Here is an 18,736-nt window from a genome sequence, read left to right as displayed (position 1 = left end):
CACCTGGCAACATTTGGAAAAGGTCTGTTGATTAGATACCAGTACTCTATCAAGGTTAGTTCTTGATTTTAATAATTGGACTGTGGTTACATAAGATAATATACTTGCTTTTAGAAAATGCACACTGAAGTATTTATGGGTAAAATGGCATTACATCTGTGTCATTATGTATGCAACTGTGGCAGGCAGAATTCTAAAGGCAAAGACAATCAAGGAAATAAGAAAGACTCAAATACATTATGTTAGGATTAGGGATGGCTATATAAGCAAAGGTAGAGAAGAGATTGGAAAAATTATAAGCATATATTCTGCACAACTCCCTAATAAGAAAATTAGAAAATTATGTCAAATTGTCAAATCAGACTTATAAAAAAATCATAAATTGTACCCTTATGAAGCTTTGCTAGTGATTCAAAAGGCACAGATAATCACAAGACTCTGTTGACGCAAGAATACTAAGACCACCAGTGTGATCACAAGTTCTTAATTGCCAAGATTTATCATGTAAAGCTCTAGTCACATGCTGGACATTGCTTTCACAAAGAAAGGATTTCAATCATGAATACATCTCCATTTTACACTATGATAATTACACATTCGACATTAACATTTTCCAGGGGCCCCATTGCAATACAAATCTATAAATCCTGTGCTCACTTACCATATGTAACCTAGGTAGACCAGGGATAGCCTGCTAAAAGCATTCTATAGTTGAGGATGCTCCATTATCTTTCCACAAGTAAATATGAAGAAATCTGATTCATATCTTTACAAGGAGATTTGACCAGGCGGTTTCTTCAATGTTTCTTTATCTTCCGTGGGTCTCTGAGAGAAAGAACAGGTTGCAGGGCAGCGGCTAACCCTTTTCTTGCCAAAACCCACAATATCCCCTGGTTTGTCTAGGAGTATATTGTTTTATATCTGTTTTCTTCGCATCCACCTGGTTAGCATTCATTTTTACCCTCAAAAGTGCTCCACTTCAGAAAACACCTTGCCTGGTCTTTGTACTTGTAATCAATCATAGAAGAAATTTTTAAAATGCACCAATACTAGGTAGTTTTATGCAAATAATTTCAAAAATGTAAAGAAAATGATTGTGCCCTATATATTATTTCAGAGAGTAGTAGATATGATGAAAAGCTTTCCAATAGTTTGCTTTATAACAGAAATAGTCCTAAGACTATTACAGTACAAGGACTGCACAAATACAAATTAGTACAGATCGATCTATGTTTATTGGCTTTTGTAACATGACTGGACGTAAGAAGCAATTGCTCAAATAAAAAAATCCATCTCTGGTTCTGTTATTTGTGTCTGATTTTCCTCTGTGTTGGCTTCTTCCCAGGGCAGGCACTGTATTAGTCTGTTCTCACGCTGCTATAAAGAACTGCCCAAGACTGGAGAATTTATAAGGAAAAAGGTTTAGTTGACTCACAGTCCTGCATGGCTGGGGAGATCTCAGGAAACTTATAATCACAGTGTAAGGGGAAGCAAACATGTCCTTCTTCACATGGTGGCAGGAGAGAGAAGTGCCAACCAAAGGTGGGGAAAGCCCCTTATGAAATCATCAGATCTCATGAGAACTCACTCACTATCATGAGAAAAGCATGGGGGAACCACCCCCATGATCTATCTAATCACCTCCTGCAGATCCCTCCCCCAACAAGTGGGGATTACAATTCAGATTACCATTCAAGATGAGATTTGGGTGGCAACACAGAGCCAGACCCTATTAGGCACTCCTCATGTGTATATCAGTTACCTAGTACATACTAGTAAGATAAGTATTTATGCTGAAAACCATCCATATCAATGTTGTCTCTCACGTTAATAATAAAACTTTAGTTTGAACCTTCTTTAGTCTGCTCATTGATCACAACAAATAGCTAATGGGTGGTAAAGACAAAGGAAAAGCCAACAGCCCCTCTGAAATCTTGGTCGATCAAAAGTTTCAATAGCAGCAATTCTCATTAAAACAAGACAGAAAGGTGAATTATAAGGAGCTTAGGAAAGGACTTTTTTTTTAAATAAAGGCAGATTTATATAAAAATATTCACATGACTAGCCACATTTAAATATTTTGTTCATGCCTCTATTATATTCCACACTACTTTTCATCATGGAAATTTTGTAGAAGGTTGTCAGCTCTACTGCATTTTTAGCTGTTTGAGAAAAGAGACCATGGTGCACTGCTTTTATCACCCAGAATGCCCTTCATATAGGGGCAGCCAATACGTGTTTGCGCAACAATTGATTTAATGCATCATCATGTTCTCCAATCTCTCCTGTTTTCAAAACCTTGATATTTAAAGCTTTCTCCCATTTGACTCTTATTTCATGCAGCATCCATATGAAGATCCTGATAAGAGCTCTAATTAGGCCTTGTTGGGTTCTGCTTAAATACAGAAACAGCTTCCGGGAAAGAATGCTTCCTTATTTAATAAGTGAGGGAGGTCTGCTAAAATTATGTCATTAGCTAACAAACCAGTTGGTATCATTCTTGTTTTCACAATGCAGGTCAGTGTTTGCAGGTTTTAAAAATGTCTTCACCAGCATATCTTAATGTTTTTGACCTATGGACCAGAAGTCAGGCAGTGGGGCAGCCACCAGGACCACACTGTCTGGACCCCAGACATTCTGTTCTGCTGGCTGCTCACCCCACAAGTCCTGAGACGCCCCTTTGGATCCAGCGGGAGCTCTGATTGTCTGGTCGCAGCCTTATTTCCCAGCGGCTCTAGAGACCCAGGTTGCTTCCTCCACTGACTTTGCCACAATTGTGCCTTGACATATGTCTGCTCCTGTGCCGCCCACTCCACACTAACGCTTTCTCTGTGCTCTGCCTCATGAGCCCCACCACTTGCCCTCTCCCTGCATTATGTCTGCTCCTGCCCACCGCCTTTGTACCTCTGCTATTTATATTCCCAGGGGAAGATTTCAGTGGGGGCCACTTTGGGTAATTTGGCCCCAATCCCCTGTGTAGTCGTCTGCCTTTGGTTCAGGCACCAATCCTTGGTCTGGTCAGTTGTGGGAGGGTGGTAGGAAGCATGGGTTAGCGAACAGCTTTCAGGTTCTGTTAGTAACGTTGTTAATCAGCAGTAGCTAGAGATGAATTACCTCTATAACCTGACACCAAGTGCACTGTTATAACTTAAAAAAGCTGAGACTCAATTCTGCCTCACATGTATTTATTAGTTGTCAGGCTCCAAAGCAGGTAGACATTGCATTTTGTGGTCCAGTGGAGTCCTGCTACGTGTCCATAGGTACAAGTGGCAAGCCCAGCAGTACTGATGCAAGGCAGGTGAACACCAAAACTGGGGCTTAGCCTGGGTGGGTGCTTGGCTTCACTTAGAAAAGAATTTAAGAGCAAGCTGGCAGTAAAAGAAAGTTTGTCAGAGCAACAGTGTACGGCAAAATGGCTGTTCCACAGAGCAGGGCTATCCCATAGACTGAGCAGGGCTATCACATAGACAGAGCAGGGCTATCCCATAGACTGAGCAGGGCTATCACATAGACAGAGCATTTGGTTGTCCATTGACTTAGCAGGAGGGTAACCCCTGAGTATGTGGGTACATGTGAATGTGGATGTGTGGCAGGCCTATATCTCTCAAGTATTAGCCTCTCTGTTTTCTGTTTTCTTCTTCCTTTTTTCTCATTTGTTGGTACCTAATAAGCCCCTCTAGCCAACATCAAACTGAAAACAAAGTCCCAAAGACTCTTTAACCCCAGTGTGAGTTGTCAAGACTCAGAAACTTGGTTGCTGAGCAGGTTTTTGGCCTCAAAGATTAAGTCATCCTGATATGAGGGGAAGAAAAAACAAAAACAACAGATATAAGGTTGAGAAATGAGCCACAAAGAGAAAGAGGGAGCTGTGTTCTTGATTTACAGGATTTCTGTTCCCAATGACCAGCGAGTGGTTCAGTGGCCTGAGTGTGGGTGGCCCAACCCCACATCACCTGGGGACTCCTTGCCCTCCATAGATGGGATACCTGTAGGTAAGACCCTTGGGCAGAGGCTGGCACTTAGGCAGCTTGTGAAGACATGGGGGCCCAAAGGCAAAGTTCCATCCCCTGGCCAAGGTGGGATAGACAGAACTGGCTAAAAAATTTCCCATGGGCCGTGGCCGTGGTGGACTCACTAACATTGTTACAATAGCCTATTTCTAATACTTGAAGTTTAAGGTGCTAAAGGACAATTTGTATTGCGTAGAATAATTGGCATCTATTTAGAATGAGAAGAAGCAGGTAGGTCTCCCTTAGGCTTCCGGGCCAGGAAGGAGGTGAATGATAATGGGTACCCAAATTTAATCGGTTCAACCAGAAAACATCTACTATGTACCAGGCAGTGTGACTCATTCCGGGAATATGAAGAAGAGGGTGGGAAGTGAGTAGTAGAAGAGAAATAGAACCCTAAAAACAAGTTATGCCCAAATTAAGTGCTTTATTGACTCCCTTAACCAGGGTCTTTGAAATTGTTTCAACCATACTTTTAATTGGCACCCAGTACATCCATATAAATATAATACTAAAAATATCTTTCTCCTCACTAAGGCTCTAAGGCTCAGAAGGTTTTATTAATAAGTTCTACTAAACTTTTAAGAAATAATTAATTCCTGCTTTATATAAGTTATTAAAAAAAGACCAAAACCTGCACTTTTTCTTTTGAGACAGGGTTTTATTCTGTCACCTAGGCTGGAGTGCAGTGATATGATCAGAGGTCACGGCAACCTCGACCTTCCAAGTTCAAGTGATCCTTCTATCTCTCATCCTCCTGAGTAGCTGGAACAACAGGCACACTATGCCTGGCTAATTTTTGTATTTTTTTGTAGAGATAGGGTCTCACTATGTTGCCCAGGTTGGTCTCAAACTCCTGGACTCAAGCAATTCGCCCGCCTCTGCCTCCCAAAGTACTAGGATTACAGGTGTGAGCCACTGTGCCTGTTCCCACTTTTCATTCTATAAATAGATAAGGTCAATCCACCCCAACAATTATAGGCATAGTTCATTTTGAACACAGATGTAAATATCTTAAACAAGATATAGTTAAGAAAATCCAACTGTATGATAAAAAGACACAATAATTAAATAAGACTCATGAATGCAAGATGATACACCATCATAAATATATCAACAGAATTTATTATATCAGCTAAGTAGAGTGTAAAATGCAGGATTATCTGAATTGATGCAGAAAAACTTCTTGATCAATTCAACACATATGTATAATAAAACTTGTTAACTGGAAATAGAAAGGAACTTCTTCAACTTGTTAAAGTTGTCTACTCTAAAAGTGATGTTAAACGTTACACAGATTAGGGGCATTTTTAATATTTTCTCTGAAATTGTAAATGATGTAAAGATGCCCATCATCACTCCTATTAATTAACATTTGTCTGTAAGCTTGTGACCAATTCTATAAGGAAAAAAGAATAAGTAGGAGAGGTAAGACTTGAAAGGAGATAAAACTGTTATTATTTGCAGATAATATAATCATCTGTCCAAAAAAGCTTCCAACTATTAGAACTAGTAAGAGAATTGAACAAAATTTTTAGATAAGAACAACTTAAGAAATCTTGATATCTTCTACACTGACAATACAAACTAGGAATAATAATAAAATATTATTCCAAATTCCAGTCAAAACTAGAATATTTAAGAATTGATCATTAATCCATAGAAACTTTATAGAAAAAAATTTTATGTATTTATTTTTTTGGCTGAGCACAGGGGACTTTGTTGATGGTACAAGACAAGGTGGGGCTCCCTAGGCCACTCCCTCTTCAGGGGGTCTGCATGGAAACTGTGAGGAGGGGAGATTCTCATTGTGGCAGGGGACTGAGTGTGGCAGGGACTCCCCAGCAGTGAGGGCCTCTCTTTTCCTCTTGTGCTGTCACTGGGGCTGGTGGTTCAGGGGTCTTACTCCTTGGAGGACTTGTGGGCCATGACGTCCACCACCCTGTTGCTGTAGCCAAATTCATTCTCATACCAGGAAATGAGCTTGACACAGTGGTTGTTGAGGGCAATGCCAGCCCCAACATCAAAGGTGGAAGAATGGATGTCGCTGTTGAAGTCGAAGGAGACAACCTGGTGCTCGGTGTTGTAGCCCAGGATGCCCTAGAGGGAGCCCTCTGATGCCTCCTTCACCACCTTCTTGATGCCATGATATTTGGTAGGTTTTTCCAGATGGTAGATCAGGTCCACGACTGACACATTGGCAGTGGGGACACAGAAGGCCATGCCAGTGAGCTTCCCGTTCAGCTCAGGGATGACCTTGCCCACAGCCTTGGCAGTGCCAGTAGAGGCAGGGATGATGTTCTGGAGAGTCCCACCACCGTCATGCCACAGTTTCCTGGAGGGGCCATCCACAGTCTTCTGGGTGGCGGTGATGGCATGGACTGTGGTCATGAGTCCTTTCACGATACCAAAGTTGTCATGGAGGACCTTGGCCCGGGGCGCTAAGCAGTTGGTGGTACAGGAGGCATTGCTGATGATCTTGAGGCTGTTGTCATACTTCTCATTGTTCACACCCATTATGAACACGGAGGCATCAGCAGAGGGGGCAGAGATGATGACCCTTTTGGCTCCTCCCTGCAAGTGAGCCCCAGTCTTCTCCATGGTGGTAAAGGTGCCGGTGGGCTCCACGATGTACTCAGCACCAGCAGTGCCCCATTTGATTTTGGAGGGATCTCGCTCCTGGAAGATGGTGATGGGATTTCCATTGATGACAAGTTTCCCGTTCTCAGCCTTGATGGTGCCATGGAATTTGCCATGGGTGGAATCATACAGGAACATGTAGACCATGTACTTGAGATCAATGAAGGGGTCACTGATGGTGATAATATCCACTTTACCAGAGTTAAAATAGCCCTGCTGACCAGGCGCCCAATACGACCAAATCCACTGACCCTGACCTTCACCTTCACCATGGTGTCTCAGGGATGTGGCTGGCGATGTGAGAGAAGATGCGGCTGTCTGCTGAATCGGAGGAGGAAAGAGCCGAAAAAAAAATTAATGAGTGACACAGAAAGTTCAATGGAGAGACAACCCATGCTCTCAGGTGGGACATATTTGTATTATGAAGATGCTGGTTTTCCCCAAATCAAAGTACGAATTCAAGGCAATTTCAATAAAAATTCCAGTTGAATTTTTTTGAGGAAGGAAAATATGTTACCATAATATTTATATGAAAGCTTACAGGTCCACATAAAAGTAAGTACAATTTGAAATAGAAGCACAAATAGATGTGACCTGCCCTACCAGTCTATGAAGACATATTATAGTGTTAAGATTTTAAAGAATTTGTATTTTACCAAGAGCAGATAAATAATCCATTGGAACAATATATTATGTTAAGAGACAGATTCATGTATTTATATAGGCATTTTGTATATAATAAACCTGGCAACCCAAGTCAACAAAAGTAGATTATTCAGTAGATGGTGTTTGGAAAATTGGCTTACTACATGGAGAAAAATATGAGAGAATTTCTACTTAACACCATACTCAAAGGTGGACTTCAACTGGATTAAATACATAAATGTGCAAGATTAAACTCTAAAGTTCATAAAAGATAATGTAGGGGATTATGTTAGGCTGTTCTTGCATTGCTATCAAGAAACTTGAGACTGGGAAATTTATAAAGAAAAGAGGTTTAATTGGCTCACCGTTCTGTAGGCTGTACAGGAAGCTTGGTGCTGGCATCTGCTCATCTTCTAGGGAGGCCTCAGGAAGCTTACAATCATGGGAGAAGGTAAAGAGGGAGCAGGCGCATCACATGGCAAAAGCAGAAGCAAGTGAGAGAGACAGTGGGGGGAGGTGCCACATGTTTTTACATGACCAGATCTCACTAGAACTCACCATCACGAAGACAGCACCAAGCCACAAGGGCCTGCCCCCCATGACCTGACCACCTCCTGCCAGGCCCCACCCCCAGCATTGGAGGTTATAATTCAGCATGAGATTTGGGTGGGGACAAATATCCAAACTATATCAAGGATTATCTTTGTGACATAGAGCTGGGGACAAATTTCTTAAATCAAATCTCAAAAACACAATCTTTAGGCAAAAACATTGATGAATTTATTACATTATAATGGTGTTACAGTCAAAGTTGACAGATCAGAAGGAAGATGTTTGTAATATCCAAAACCCTCAGTATCTAGCATAGATAGGATTTCCTTCAACTGACCAAGGAGGCAATGATAGAAGTTGCTGTCGTGTAAATGTTTGTTCCTTTCAAAACTCTTGTTAAAATTTAGTTGCCTTTGTAACAGTGTTAAGATGTGGAAACTTTAAGACAAGACTATTTGTAACACTATTAAAATGTGAAACCTTTAAGACATTACTAGGCCATGAAGGCTCCCCACTAATTGGTGGAATTGTTGTTTTTATAAAAGAATGAGAAGTTCAGCCCCCTTTTGATCTCCCTTGCCATCTTGCATTCCCCCAGGTGATGAAACAGCAAGAAGGCCCTTGCTAGCATCTTGATATTGGACTTACCAGTCTCCAAATCTGTGAGCCAATAAATTTCTGTTCATTATAAATTACCCAGTCCCAGGTATTCTGTTACAGCAGCACAGAGTGGACTAAGACAGAAATTGGTATAGAGAGTGGAACTGTTTTTATAACAAACACTTGAAAATGTAGAAGCAGCTTTGGAACTGGATAATGGGCAGAGGCTGGAGGAATTTGGAGCAGCAGATTAGAAAAAGACTATATTGCTGAAAATGAGCATTAAGAATGATTCTGGTGAGGGCTTAAAAGATGAGAGCTGTAGGGAAAGTCTGAAACTTCCTAGAGATTACTTAGATAATCTCTAAGTAGATGTGATCAGAATGTTGGTAGAAATATGAATGGTAAAGGCAATTCTGATGAAGTCTCAGATGGAAATAAAGAACAAGGTATTGAAAATTAGAGAAAAGGCCATCCTTGTTATAAAGTGGCAAAGAACTTGGTTGAATTGTGGTCATGTCCTAGGACTTCATGAAAGGCGGAAGTAGAGGGTGATGAATTTGGATGTCTGGCAGAAGAAATATCTAATCAGTAAAATACTCAGAATATTGCATGGCTTCCTTTAAGTGTATAAAGGAAAATATGAGAAGAAAGAAATGATTTAAAGATGGAATTTATAATTAAAAGGGAAACAGAATTTAGAGATCTGAAGGATTCTCAGCTTGATCCTAATAGAGAATGAAAGAGCATTTTCAGGTGAGGAAATCAAGGCTGTGGCCAAGTGGCCATTTGATAAGATTAGTATGAACAGAATGAAGCCAAGGCTATTAATCAGGACAATGGAAAAATGACCCCAAAGGTACTTCAGAGACCACCAGTACTGACCCTCTTATCCCAGGTCCAGAGTGCCAAAACCTGGGGCAAGTAAAATGGCAAAAGAGAGGCCTAGAGTGCCTTCAGGAACTTGAAGTTCCCAACCGAAGGTCACCTTAAGTCTCTACTTTTGGCATTCAGGAACAGTGTTCTTTAGCAATTCAAGCTGTTGGTAAAGCAGGCCCAGATGTGGCTTGGGCCACAGCTGCAGAGCGTGAACCAGTAAACCCTGGCCATGGCCACATGGTGCTAGTTCTGCAGATTCATGGAATGCATGAGCTGTGGCAACATGGCTTCCACCAGCTAGATTCAAAGAATGTCACAAACAGCCTTGGGGACCAGACAGAGATGTCACAGGGATGGAACAACCACAGAGAGCCCCCACTAGAGCAATGACCAGAGGAACTGTGGGGCCTAAGCTGCCACAGAGAGTCCTCACTAGGACAATGCCTAGTAGAGCTGTGGGGTCAGGGCCACCCCTGAGACTCTAGACTTGTAGAGCTACCATTGTGAAACACCAGCATAGGAGAGTGAAAGACACAAGACTCCAACCTGTGAGAGCTGCAGGGTGGACTGAGCCCAACAAAGTTGTTAGAATAAGGCTATCTAAAGTGCTGGGGCCCAATTCCAAACCTCCCAACCATCACTGTGTCCAGACAGCAGGACATAGTATCAAAAAAAGATTATTCTCAAGCCTTGAGATATAGTATTGTTTGCCCTAATGGATTTTGAACATGCTTACGACCTGTTACTCTTTTCTTCTTTCCTATTTCTCATGTTTGAAATGTGAATGTCCCCCTTGAAAACCAGCACAAGACAAGGATGCCCTGTCTCACCACTCCTGTTCAACATAGTATTGGAAGTTCTGGCCAGCGCAATCAGGCAAGAAAAAGAAATAAAGAGTATTTGAATAGGAAGAGAAGAGGTTAAACTGTCTCTGTTTGCAGATGACATGATCCTATATCTAGAAAAACCCTATCATGTCAGCAAAAAAGCTTCTTAAGCTGATCAGCAACTTCAGCAAAGTCTCAGGATACAGAATCAATGTGCAAAAATTGCAAGCATTCCTGTATACCAACAACAGACAAGCAGAGAGCCAAATCATGAATGAACTCCCATTCACAATTGCTATAAAGAGACTAAAATAACTAGGAATACAGCTAACAAGGGAAGCGAAGGACCTCTTCAAAGAGAACTACAAACCACTGCTCAAGGAAATTAGAGAGCACACAAACAAATGGAAAAACATTCTATGCTCATGGACAGGAAGAATCAATATCATGAAAATGGCCACACTGCCCAAAGAAATTTATAGATTCAATGCTAGTCCCATTAAATTACCATTGACATTCTTCATATAATTAGAAAAAACTACTTTGCAATTCATATGGAACCAAAAAAGCCCATATAGCCAAGACACTGTAAGCAAAAAGAACAAATCTGGAGGCATCACACTACCTGACTTCAAACTATACCACAAGGCTACAGTAACCAAACCAGCATTGTACTGGTACAAAAACAGACGCATAGACCAATGAAACAGAATAAAGAACTCAGAAATAAGACCACACATCTACAACCATCTGATCTTTGACAAATCTGACAAAAGCAAGCAATGGGGAAAGGATTCTCTATTTAATAAATAGTACTGGGAGAACTGGCTAGCCATATGCAGAAAATTGAAACAGAACCCCTTTCTCATACCTTATACAAAAATTAACTCAAGATGGATTAAAGACTTAAGTGTAAAACCCAAACCTATACAAACCCTAGAAGAAAATCTAGGCGATACCACCACGGACAAAGATATCATGGTGAAAATATCAAAAGCAACTGCAACAAAAGCAAAAATTGACAACTGGGATCTAATTAAACTATAGAGCTTCTGCGCAACAAAAGAAACTATCATCAGAGTGAAGAGACAACCTACAGAATGGGAGAAAATGTTTGCATGTTTGCAATCTATCCATCTGACAAGGGTCTAATATCCAGAATCTACAAGAAGCTTAAACAAATTTACAAGAATAAAACAAACAACACCATTAAAAACTGGGCAAAGGACATGAACACACACTTCCCAAAAGAAGATGTTTATGAGGCCAACAAACATATAAAAAAAAGTTCAACAACACTGATCATTAGAGAAATGGAAATCCAAACCACAATGCGATACAGTCTCACACCAATCAGAATGGTGATTATTAAAAAGTCAAGAAACAACAGATGCTGTTTGAGGCTGTGGAGAAATAGGAACAATTTTACACTGTTGGCAGGAATATAAATTATTTCAACCATTGTGGAAGATGGTGTGGCGATTCCAGCATCAGGTTGTACTGACACTGGAGATAAAAGTCTATTCCTTTTACTATATTAAAATCCTTAATTATTTGAAGACAGCATTAAGCTGAACATCACCAGTTTCTTTAACCTTTCCCTCATCCTGTTTGCTCACACCTGGACCTATGTGAGTTGGCCAGTGCCCTCCCACAGTAAGCCAACAGACCCTGCCACAGTTCTGGGTGAGTACATTGGGATTGACATCTCCCTTGCTTCTTGAACTTCTTTTAATGTGGTCCAAGAGCAGACTCACTTGGGTTGTTGCTCAGTGGATTACACTAGAAATTCCCGGGAAATTTCAAAGTCTCTAAATTACAAAACCCTTCAGTTATAAAGCACTGTTAAGTAGTGGTATTGGACTTAGACCATCATTTCAGACTGCTGAAGCTTGGGTTTTTGTTGTTGTTTGTTTGTTTTTAGTTCAACCTACATTTTTACTGTCTACCAGAATTTTCTGTCTTGAATGAATGTGACCAGCATACCATTATCTTTCAACACTCATTTCTAAGACTATATTGGAAACTCCGTGGCATTCCACTAGAGACCACCTTCCACGCAGTATTGTTCCATCAATTAGTATTCTGACCTCATGGATACACCCAGTCATACAAACATCCACCCTATATAGACATGGTTTCCATTCATAGACAAGAATTGTAAATTTTAAAATATCAAATGTACTAAGAGGTAAATTTTATGATTGTTACTAAATTTAGAGTGATTTTTACTATACCTTCATGTAATTTTTCTTTCCATAGGAGTGCATGTTTGAAATGAAAATGGAAATTAGCCCAGGCACGGTGGCTCACGCCTGCAATCCCAGCACTCTGGGAGGCTGAGGCAGGTGGATCATTTGAGGTAAGGAATTTGAGACCAGCCTTCCCAACATGGTGAAACCTCGTCTCTACTAAAAACACAAAAATTTACCGGGTGTGGTGGCAGGTGCCTGTAATCCCAGTTACTTGAGAGGCTGAAAAGAGAATCACTTGAGCCCAGGAGGTGGCGGCTACAGTGAGGCGAGATCATGTCACTGCACTCCAGCCTGGCCGATAGAGCAACTGCTCTCAAAAAGAAAAAAAAAAAAAAGAAAGGAAGAAAGAAAGAAAAAAAAGAAAATGAAAATTAATGGGAAAATGTGGCTGTGTATAAACTTTCACTGACAGACACATTTTCTGACAGAGCCACGTGGTGATGTGCAGAGAGGATTTGGATGAAGAGGAGCTGCTGGAAGCTGTGGAGTTGTTTCTGTGAAAAACGTTTCAGTGAGTCAGAATTTCTAGAGCTCAAGAGTGAGCGGGGGGGGGGCGGAATTAGAAACAGAAGGTGCATTCATCAGGTTTGAGATAACAGAGGGGCCTGGCTGACTACTCTGCACGCTGTGAGCCTAATAAATACCATTCAAATTAATGCTCCAAGAATTGTATGTGCTCCAGTTCCTTTTTCAACCAGATATAACTTGGGAGTGAATAAATGTGAGAGAATTGAGGTCAGTATTTTTTTTAAAGGAATGCAGAAGGGAGGAACGAGAGAGAGGCTGATTTAAGTCAGAGACTTCAAAGAAATGAAGGTTTGATGCGACTGTCCTTGCAGGCTGAGAACAAAACGGGCCTGAATAAGCACAGAGGGGAGGCGAGGTTCAGGGTGAGCTCCTAATCACCTGCTGTATTTACAGGAGAGAAGACAACAGGAGAAGTTAGGGAAGATATTAATTGTATATCCAAGTTAAAAATTAGTAAATATCTGTCAAATTCCAAGAATAGAGTGAGCATGAGGGAATATGAGGAAGTGGAAGGAGAAATTGAAAGGTGTCAAATTGTCATTTAGAATATGGGCAAAATAATTCCTACAGGTGGAATATTCCATACTTTAGCAGCACAGAAAGGCTGAGAACATAAGGAATCAGAACTTGGCCTGGTCAGCAATGTGGTTTTTCCCTCTTCCTTTTTCTGCTTCTATTTTTGGAGACGTAGAATGGCTCTCATATCCTATCATTACATTAGATGGCCAACAAAACAGGAGAAATTTCAGATTACAGTAAATGCTAGCATAAATGAGATTTTTTATTTTCAGAAAACATTTTCTATTTATATCATGAATTGTACTCGTTTTGTTTTTTCCACCCAATTGTATACAAAAATACCACTAGTTTTGTTATGGAATTTTTCTATTTGATTTACTTGCACACTGTAGCGGCAAAGAGGTGTCCTGTTTAATGAGCCTAACTAAGGTAATGATTTGTCTTCACACACAAACTGCAAAACAAAAGATTAATTCACAGACCTTGGCATGCAAGTAAAGAGAACTGGTAAATCAATTGTCACCATGTCTGTAATCAATTGCTTTGTACTGCTTGGGCAGCTCTTCTGTGCAAACATCTTCATCTTCCTTTTGGATAAAGAAATGTAAAACCATAACAGAGTCCATTCAGACATTTACAGAAATTAACATTAATATATTGAGAAATAAAAATATAACTAAAAGTATCAATTAGAATAATTCACGCTTAATTCCTATATTTTCTGCTGGTATGGTTATAGATTGAGAATAACATGACCAAAGACTCTGTAAAGGCCACAGATTTCTTTATGGAGAAAACTGCAGAAGATGAATACTGAGAAGGAAAAGTGAGTTGATAACACTGGATGGAAGAGAGAGGAGCGTGTGGGAGTAGGCTGACTGGGAGCTCCTTCCAGACTGGGCTCTGCCAATTGACGTCAGCCTGCCATGAGCCTCCCCCAGATTCTGCAGACCAGCTGGGCCGGCCAACTGTGCAGGCTGTGGAATTGGTGTTAAAATATTTGGATATGGTCATGGGGAGTGAATTGACTCTTAGAATCACAGACTGTTTTCAGTGCTAGCAGAAGCCTTGGAGATTAAACTCCTATGAGAAAGGATAGTTTCGTGAATTCATTTTTGTCATTTATATAAGCCAGAAGAATTTATAATTTTAAATCAGATTTGAATTTAGTAATCAGATAAATGAGTTAACAGCTTTTGAAAATAAACTATTTTGTAAGTTCATATTGTAGGGCTCAAGAATATGACACCCAGTACATGGAGCAGAACCAGGAGATTTTTTAAAACTGGGAATAACATTTGGAGAAAGGGGAACTTAAAGCTCAGCCACCTAGACTCGAAGTCAGTCATCGATGGATCCAGCCAATAATTATTGGGCACTTTCTGTGGGCCAGGCCATGTTCTAGGCACTGGAGCAAACTCAGTGCCACAAAAGAAAACAAATAGAACTCTTTGCACTCATGAGACTGATAGCCTAGTAGAAGAGACAGAAAATAAGAAAATAGACATAAATAAGTAAATTGTTTAGTCTAAGATGGGAACAGTGTTTTAAAAAAAGCAGTGTGAGAGTATTTGGAAGAGGTGATGGGGGGCTGGGAGACAGGTGGCAATTTTAACAGAATGGTATACAGTATTGGTCTTCTTGGGAGATAGTTATTTGGGCAATGACTTGAAGAAGGTGAAGGACTGAGCTGAGCAGACATTCGAAGGAAGTGCTCTCCAGCAGGGGAGCAGCTGCTGCAAATGCCCCAGGGCTGAACCACACTCGGGGGATTCAACAATGAAGGGCAGTGTTGCTGTAGCAGGGAGCTAGGGCAGAAAAGCAGAAGACGGGATAAGGGAGAGCGCTGAGAAAACCCATCAGAACCTGAGGCCATTGTAAAGCCTTATCCTTTACTCGGAATAAAATGGAGAATGATTAGAGAGTTTTAAGCAAAGAAGCCAGAGTGGGATGATCCGATTTACAGGGCAGCAGCAGAGAAGGGAAAGAAGGTCCAGACTCTGAATATATTGCATCTTGAAGGTGGCATCAACTGGACAAGGTGAAGGAAAGAATGTGAGATGTGACAGAAAAAGATGTGTTGAGCATGACCTGATGTTTTTGGCCGGAGCTACGAGAGAGATGTTTCCATCAGCAGAAGTAGGGATTAAAGCATTATTCTGTCACCTACTGTGTGCTAAGCCCAAGACCAGGTGCTAAATCCCTAAGCGTGAGCCAGGTCAGTATTTTTTCATCTCCAGCTCATGACCAATTTGGTTTTTACAAGTTAGTGATTCTTAACTAGAATTTTAAAAAATCAAATGGAATAATGTTGTGGATACTTTGGTGCCATACCAAGACAACTGAAGTGCTGCTGGGAATATCTGTTGCTGCTGGCTCATGGCTGCACTTTTCATTGGCTATCACCTGTGACCACAGTGAACCACTTGCCTTAAAGAGAAGCACAGTCAGTGCCTGACTGATGTGGGTACAAGGTCGAACCTCTTGAGTTCAGTTTGGTAAGAATCAGGAGAATCAACCCAGTTCCAGGGCTCCCCAGAGGATGGGCTGAGGCCTCAGCATCTTCTGCTTCTGGAAATGAGGCAAATATCAAGGGCCAAATCCTATTGAAGTCCTGATGACATGCTGAGCTTGCCAAGACAATAGAGGCAATGTGTGCACAAAGAGGAGCAACAAGATCAAGAAAATACCTTTTGGTGGGTCCTGTGGCCTGTGCAAACCAGGGAAGGGTCCTGCTAGGTCAAATGAGTCTCCTCAGGTCACATTTCCATATGGTGCTGGCCAGGGTAGTAGGTGAGGCCTCCGAGTGAGGTGAGGGTTATGTCACACAACAGGAGGCATTGGATGTTAGGAAATATCTCCATTTTATACCCAGATAGATAGTTGCATGGCTTATGTGACATTTTTTAAGGAGCTATGCACCATAAATCCATAGCTTCTAGGTTTGTTTATGTTAAGCCACAATCCTTCAATAGATGAGGACTCTTCTGGAAAATGTAATTATCAGGAGGTCCGGTTATAAATATGTTCAAAAAGAGATCAGACACAGTCGCCTACCTATTTTCTTTCCTGGGAGTGTCTCCCTGCTGATCTTATACTTTCCCAGGAACTCTTTCCCCCTAGACAAAATTTAATATCCTAGCAAGAACTCTGGAAGATAATGCAAACATAAAGCCAGGCTGACTTGGGACTTTGGAAGTGATTGCTTTTTCTATTAAGTGAAATAGGAATCCCAGAACTTCCATGATAGATGGTGAAGGGAGAGATCTTAGAAAAGTGGTCACAAGTGAATATACAACCTAAGTCCAGAAAACCCACAAACTGACTATGTTTTGAGGAATGCCCATAGGACACCCTGTTTACTCTATTAATATAGAATGCTCAAAGAACTTCCACTTCCAGCCCAGATAAAGTAACAAGGGACTGCATTTACACTTCCACTTTAATAACTATAAGAACAGACAAAATACATAAAACCATGGTTTACAGACACTGGACCACAGGCAGGTAAGAATGAGATCCCAGAAAGAAGGGAGACAAATGAAGTGAGCTCTATGATTGCCTCAGCACATGGTCTGGAGGCAGTTCCCAGACTGCAGGGCAGGGAGGAAAAACCAACGAGAGCCTGGCAGTCCTAAAAACTTTAGGAGACATATATTGAACTTCAGGAAGGTCAAGGAGGCTAGAATGTGCACGTGCAAAATATAAGAAATGATGGAATTACAGAGACAAAGTAAGAGTTTCAGAGATTTGCAGAGGGGTTCCCCTGAGTCATTGAGTGAATACTGATCTGTACATACATGAAAGGCAATTATCTATGGCCAAAATCAGAACAATGGCCAATAAAAAGAGTAGATACCACAATTTTTGTAGCTCACACAGGACTTGGACTAGTTAATATACCCACTAATGAGACTGAAAGACCTCTTAATACATGAAGCATCAGACAGATCTTCATAAGGGCCCCACTTTAATACTGGGGCTATATTTCAGCCCTAGATTAATGACTGTTATGGACTTACTCTAATACAGCTTTAAAGATAGCTTCAAAAGGATACAACTAATTGTAATTTCATAAATGAAAAAATTCAACAGTTTTTAGAAAAATAGAATCAAATCCAGAAACCAACAATTTAAAATGGATGATATCCAGGAGATAATATAAAGCTAACTGGCAGGCAAAAAACAAAGAGAGACTTAAAAGATATTACAAATATACTGCATATATCCATGAAGGTAGAGGTAAATATGAACATGATGTAGAAATAGAAGATATTAAAAAAATCAAAACTGAACTCTAGAGATAAAAATTCAATATATGAAATTCATTATATATTGGATGGGATTAATGCTACATCCTGCTGGTATTAAAAAACAGTAAAGTTGAGAACACAGCAATAGAAACTATCTAAACTGAAACACACAGAGAATTAAAAAGCTGAAAAATGATGAGCAGAGCATCACCGGCCAGTGAAAAATATCAAGCAGTTTAGGCAGGGAGGGAGAATAAAAAGTATTTAAAAAAAATAATGGCAAAGCAATTTACAAATTTAAGAAAAATTTTAAACCTACAAATTCCAGAAACCCAGTGAGCTCTAAGTAACCAAGAAAGAAAACAAAAAGTAAGAAGAAAATAAAACCAAACAAAGCCATGTCAAGATATGTTATTAAATTGCTAAAAAAACAGAGATAAGGAGAAAATCTTACCAGTAGCCAGAAAAATAAAACATTGCACACAGAGGAATTATGTTAAGGATGACATCAGACTTCTTATCAGAAACTATGCAAGCCAGAAAACAATGGAATTGTGAAAATAATTTAAAACCATTAAAATAAAGTTAAAATAATTAGAAAAAATTAAGAGTAAAAGTAATTTTTCAAAAATTAAAGTTAAAAACTTTTTTTTTCCAGAGAAACAAGATGATAGAATTTATAATCAGCAGAGCAGGAATTCAAGAAATCTTAAAAGAAGATTTTCAAGCAAAAGAAAAATAGTTCCAGATACAGAGTTGATCTAAACAAAGAAATAAAGAGTATTGCAAATGATAAATAGGTAAACATATGTAAACTTTTTTCTTATTTTTATTTCTTTAAAATATAATTGATGGCTTAAAGCAAAACTAACAATAATACATTGAAGGATGTATAACATATGGAGAAGTAAAATGTATGAAAAGAGTGGCCCAAAGAACAGAAGGATTTAATGTAAGTAGACTGTTGTCGGGTTCTTATATAGTACATAAGGTAAGATAATGTTATTTGAATGTAGATTGTGAGAAGT

At 40.0% G+C, this 18,736-nt stretch overlaps 1 pseudogene; it reads right to left on the bottom strand.

Annotated features, from left to right (window-relative positions):
- Positions 5,711-6,993, bottom strand: GAPDHP72 (glyceraldehyde-3-phosphate dehydrogenase pseudogene 72; annotated as a pseudogene).

This window comes from Homo sapiens, chromosome 6 (assembly GCF_000001405.40).
Source record: "Homo sapiens chromosome 6, GRCh38.p14 Primary Assembly".
NCBI lineage: Eukaryota > Metazoa > Chordata > Mammalia > Primates > Hominidae > Homo > Homo sapiens.
The sequence above is the reverse complement of the archived record's forward strand: the minus strand, read 5'-3'. Positions and strand labels throughout refer to the sequence as shown.